Source organism: Homo sapiens, chromosome 7 (assembly GCF_000001405.40).
Source record: "Homo sapiens chromosome 7, GRCh38.p14 Primary Assembly".
NCBI lineage: Eukaryota > Metazoa > Chordata > Mammalia > Primates > Hominidae > Homo > Homo sapiens.
In genome coordinates, this window is record NC_000007.14 from 37,982,938 (window position 1) to 37,988,389 (window position 5,452).

General features: G+C 39.5%; 2 annotated features.

Moving 5' to 3' along the window:
• Positions 3,949–4,701: an enhancer, noted in NCBI's record as "OCT4-NANOG hESC enhancer chr7:38026488-38027240 (GRCh37/hg19 assembly coordinates)". NCBI's record gives its function as "activates a minimal SCP1, AML or CMV promoter by ChIP-STARR-seq in naive H9 embryonic stem cells {active_cell/tissue: H9 hESC(naive)}" and the evidence as "EXISTENCE:reporter gene assay evidence [ECO:0000049][PMID:30033119]".
• Positions 4,917–5,117: a silencer, noted in NCBI's record as "peak6491 fragment used in MPRA reporter construct". NCBI's record gives its function as "represses an SCP1 promoter by STARR-seq MPRAs in K562 erythroleukemia cells {active_cell/tissue: K562}" and the evidence as "EXISTENCE:reporter gene assay evidence [ECO:0000049][PMID:32103011]".

Here is a 5,452-nt window from a genome sequence, read left to right on the forward strand (position 1 = left end):
CAGCATGACCCACAGTCTCAAAAAGATGATGCAAGGTCATATTACCTCAGGACTGAACACTGATCATTGGATTTAGCAACTTGCGTATACTTGTTGCCCATGGTGCAGTAAGTTGAAGAGAAAAGAAAAGAACAAATGTTGAATGTGAATAACTCTTGCAAGCACTTTTCTTGGAAATGAGAAGCTTAAAATTGGGTAGGAGCTGAGAAAGATACAGGGTCAAGAGAGGGTTTTTTTAAGATGGAGATAAGTGTTATAAATGGGGGAGTAAGCACCTTTTGTGGAATCTTTAAGCAACAGTCCAGTACGGCTGTGGAGATTACACTGGGGAGCCATATGAATTAAAGGATTTACTGTATTTACAGGTTCTACAAAGGGAGGCACAACATACCTTGCAGGAGTCACCTGGAGGGAGCACCAAGGGAGCAGGCTCAACCAAGCAGTGGAGGAGCCAAGAGAAAGTAGGGACCTGTGGACAAGCACCCTTATTGGGCATCAGGATGGGGTTTGCCAGCAAACGCAGGAGGGAATATTATGGGTATGCTTGAATGTCACTAGGCCACAGTCAGGGAAGAGCAAGAAGGGGGACTTGTGGCAAGACCAGCCTTGTCACATTGGTGCACCTGGTCATCTGGGAAAAGTGCCCACAAGCCTGTTTCTCTGGAGATGTTGGGGAATCAGAAAAATGGGAAGTCTTTAAAAGTTGCAATTCAAGATGTTATGGTACATCATTTTTCTTGGCAATGACCCATTAAGAAAAAAAAATGATGAGGTGGGAATGGAAATAATTCCAGGAGCAAAGCCTTTGAGTAGGAGCGGGGAACAGGTTCTAGTGCAAAGTAGGGGGTTGGCCCTAGGAGACGGGGAAACCCAAGTGGATGGAGACCTGCTGCGTTTTGTAGAATGATCCATTCTGATTCCTTCTATATAAAAACAGAAGCCTTCAGCTGAGAGTGAGAAGCAGAGAGGAAATGTTGAGATTTGAAGAAGAGAAGAATGTGAAATAGTCATCTAGGAGGAAGGGCAAACAAGGAGACCAGGACTGACGGGAAGGGCAAGCGCTGCTAAACAGCTTAATAGTGAAGTGGCTGAAATATGAACATCGGGTGTCTCTGGTGATGATTTCCTTTTTGTAGTTTTCTAGTTTTCCAGATGTTTCCAAATAAGCATATATTACTTCCACAATTATCTTTTTAAAACTGTTACAGAGATGTAAAAAATAGGACATATTATATATGAGAAACGGACTTAGGATTTTGGAGAGGTGAGTGGGGATCAGAAGGACACAGGAAACCTTATTCTGTTTGCCTGGAAAAGCAAGGCCTGCAATAGATGAAGAGGAGATTTCTGCAGAAATGTACAGAATATTTTTGACCTTTTATTCAGGCCAACAGATTTACTCCATTTCTAGGTCTGAGCCACCAATTGTGTTTCTTGGTTGAGTTTGAGAGTTTGGTAGGACAGATGGTGGAAACTGTTCCCAAATTCTGAAACGAGGTAAGCTACCATTCTGGGCTGTGAAGTGGTGAGGTGCACTCTCATCCCTGCTGTGTTTTAGTGGGAAGCCTTGTGAGGTTTCATCAGGGAATATGAAAACATCTCTTACACCAGAACCTCACTAATCATGTAAAGTTTGCTTCCTTGTTAAATGATTAAACGTAAACATAAGAAGGTAAGGTCCTTGATATCTGTTTTCAGAGTGTCTTAGCCACTCCCTATTTATTATGTCTTAACAGATTTGCCTGATATATTTTTTTAAATTTCAAACCAAGGTCACTGTTCTGAAAGGGAATTTCAGAGATAATACATTGTTATTAAGGGATTGTTGCTAATTCCAAAACATATTCACCCTGTTAGACCCTGTGATATTAGCTCATATGTGCTTTTATTTTAATCTGTGATTAATGGGGTGATGAGTAGGGAATTTCAGGGCAACATTTTAAACTAAGTTCTTCTCATCTTTCTGTCAAAATCTTTATTGGGATCATAAATCTCAGCTCTCAGAAGAGGATGTGGGAATTAGATCCTATGACCGTTAAAACACCACATGGAGCTCAGCTGTGTGGACGCAAAGTAACTCTGCGTGGGGCGTGAGGTTGGGTGTGTGTTTGGAACCCTAAGGGTGGCCAGTTGAAGATTTCAGAGCCAAGGGCAGCTGAAGAAGCCAACTCCTGAGTTTTACACTAGCACAGAGGAGGATAGATTTTTATCTTGTGGTGGAAATAATATTTAACCTAGCAATATGTATGTATTTGGATGATGTCATACTTTCTTCTTGAAATATACAAACGCTTTGATGAATTTCTTTCATCTTTAAACTCTTTCATAATGAATCTCTTACATAATAAATCTCTTTAATATATTTTGCAGTCTTTGTATTCACACACAATTGTAAATTCTTAAAAGAAGAGCATATTTATTCTAAGTTCATATATTATTACTATTGAAAACAAAGACACAATAGATAAAGAGTATTGCATGAGCCCTGAATTGAAAACTATGCTTGGAAGACACTAACAGAACTATCAAGTCAGTTGAAGGAAAATATTTGCAGCCAGGCATTTCTTTCCCTGAAATAATATCTATGCCTTTTTAGTAGATGGCCTGAGGTGGCAAGGTAAGAGCTTCAGTTATTGTAAGTGAAAACCTCAGGATATGGCTGGGCATGGTAGCACATGCCTGTACGCTGTACTCAGGATGCTGAGGCAGGAGGATCTCTTGAGGCCAGGAGTTTGAAGCTATAATGCTCTACGATCACTCCTGTGAATAACCATGGCACTCCAGCCTGGGCAGCATAGTGGAGACTTCCATCTTAAAAAAAAAAAAAGGAAAATGTAAAAAAGTTCCAGATATGCTTAGAAGCAGATTTTTCAAATCCCATGGGGATGGGCTCAAAGAACAATATGATCAATAACCAGCTGACAATGATTAAAGCATCATCTTTGGAAGATGATAAGCTAAAGGTAAAGAATGTAAATCTTATTGCCTAAAACTCTTTGCAGTCAGCCAACTTAATTGAGTGTCTTTGAGAAAATTATTGTCTCATCTATCATATTGGTGCAATGAAAATAATACCTACATTGTACACATGTGGAATTTAAATAAGAAAATATTTTATATATCTACATAGCTCCTGGATATAGTACAAGTTTAAAACATTGTAGTTTATTATCAGGTTCCTGAGAGATGGCACCAATGGCAAAACGGTCACCAAAGCTATACCTTTAGAATTAGAGGATAATCCCAATTTTGTGGACAACATGTGGGTCTAAGCACCGTAGCATCTGTCAGCCTGTCCTGTCTCCTTTTTTAAAGAGCCAAATAGGAATTCTGTTGTGATTGAAGGACTTTCTATCCATCCCTGCAATCCTAGATGCTTTGGGATGCCTGCATAGAAGTTGTGCACTTTTTTCAAACACTGATGGAATAAAACAGTGTAATTACCTCTCTTTTTTTCACACCTAGCATAGAAGACTGATTTCAGGCTTTTTGAGGGGATTGGGTGGTGGTCCTCATCTGAGGATGAGGCTACATAAGTCATGGAAGACCTCGCCAATCCAGGTAGGGTACAACTCTAGGCCCTGTGTGGCTGGTCAAGGAGTCAGTCACTGGCTCATCTCTGGCCTCCCAGGAAGCTGGAGTTGAAAAGGATCTCAGGGTGATCAGATAGAGAACTGCAGAAGGGGAGGGTCAAGCCAGCTTCTTTCAGATTTATTACAGTCCCCTAAAGCATTAATGACCTTTTTGCCTAAAGCTAATACAGGGAAACTTTTAGTTCATTGACCTTCAAATAATTACAGCTGTTTGGAAAGCTTTTGGTCATAGAAACTGGCAGTACTTCCAAACATTTCAAAGATGTCTATCATCTTAATAGCACCTGTCCTTTAACCCTGCACACACACTCCAAAAAGGTTAACTAAAAAATACAACGATTAATTTTATATTCTGATGTTTTCTTATGAGCACAGCTGTGGCCACTTTAGTGTCCAGCAAAGCATTTCTTTGGCGAGTGATTTAGGGAGGGGTGGAAAGTGGAATGGAAAAAATCTCTGGAAAGTCTTTAACACTGGGGCGTATTTTCTCCCTGTTTCACTCCAAGGAATTCCCACTCATGGAATCTGGCCTATCATAAAGAACTTTTTCCTTTTGTACTTGATTCAACTTAGTAAATGATGTCAACCAGCTATGGTGAATGATGAGTGTTCCTCAAACCACAGAACAATAGACTTCATCGTTGAAGCTCTAAAAGAGCAGGAATCTGTCTGTTCCACTTCCCTCCTGCTGGGCACCATCTTCTAGCTCAGCTGGAGCCTCTTGTTCATAATTCCTCCCCTAGAGCAAGTCCTTTTTTGCTGAACTCTAGGACACCCGGCATGCATTCCTCTTCAACTGCCTTTGTTGGCCTGAATGCTGAAACAACATCACTGAACTAACATCTCCTTAAGAAGACATTTGTCATCAAAGAGGCAAATCCTCAATGAGGACAACCCTACCTTTAAAAAATCATGTCTAAACCAGCAAAATTTAAAAGATTCAGAGCTTTTTTTAAAAATCTTTTTAAAGGTAGGTTTCAAAAAATCAATTTGCCCCACTAAATTCATGGTAACTGGCACAGGAGATGGCATGAGAATGAGAAGTATTCCTTTTAGCTATACCCACAATGGCCTGTGTTCTTGTCCTCCAATCGTATCACAAATTGTCAAATGTTGGTGCACCACTGCATCCCATATTTCACACATCTGATTTTGTCTTAAGTAATTATAGTTCCCAAAGCTCACAACTCTCTTTTTCTCAACTATATTTCTCCTGGAGTTTGTCTTCACACAAAGGTCTCTTCCCAGTTTTCTTCTTCTAATAACAGTGCACTTATTTTTTTCTCTCTGCTAGGCATACTGTCACCACATCTGACTTTGTTCTTTACAGCCACTCAGTCATGGCCCTTACAGTTTTGCTTCACTCCATATATACCATTTCATTTCCCTTCCCACTGCCACTCCCTAGAACAGGCAGTTCTGGCTTTTCACACTAATGAGGAACCACAGATATGACTGTGCAAACAGAAACTGGAATGTGATCTTGTTCATCGAAGGGGAAACTTACAATTGTTCTGGGACCTTTAAAAATATTTTGTTGAAACATTAAAAACTCCTTTGTTGTAGGTTATAAATGCACAGGAAATTTTTTAAAAATAGTACAACTAATAATTATTTAGTATACTGTAATTTAAAACATCAGAAATATGAAGAAATAAAGTATTTTATTTATTTGTAAATATGGAGTATAGTTTGAATGAGGTTGCCCTCCTCTTCTCATTGTAGGACTTAGTGTATGGAGTGAGCATCTTTACTATGCCCTGAAAAACTGTCATACTCCTTTCTAAGTTTGAATCAGCTTCCAACTATCTATTCTTTGTTTTTTCAATGTCATGAAATGCCTCTGAGAGTTCCTTTAA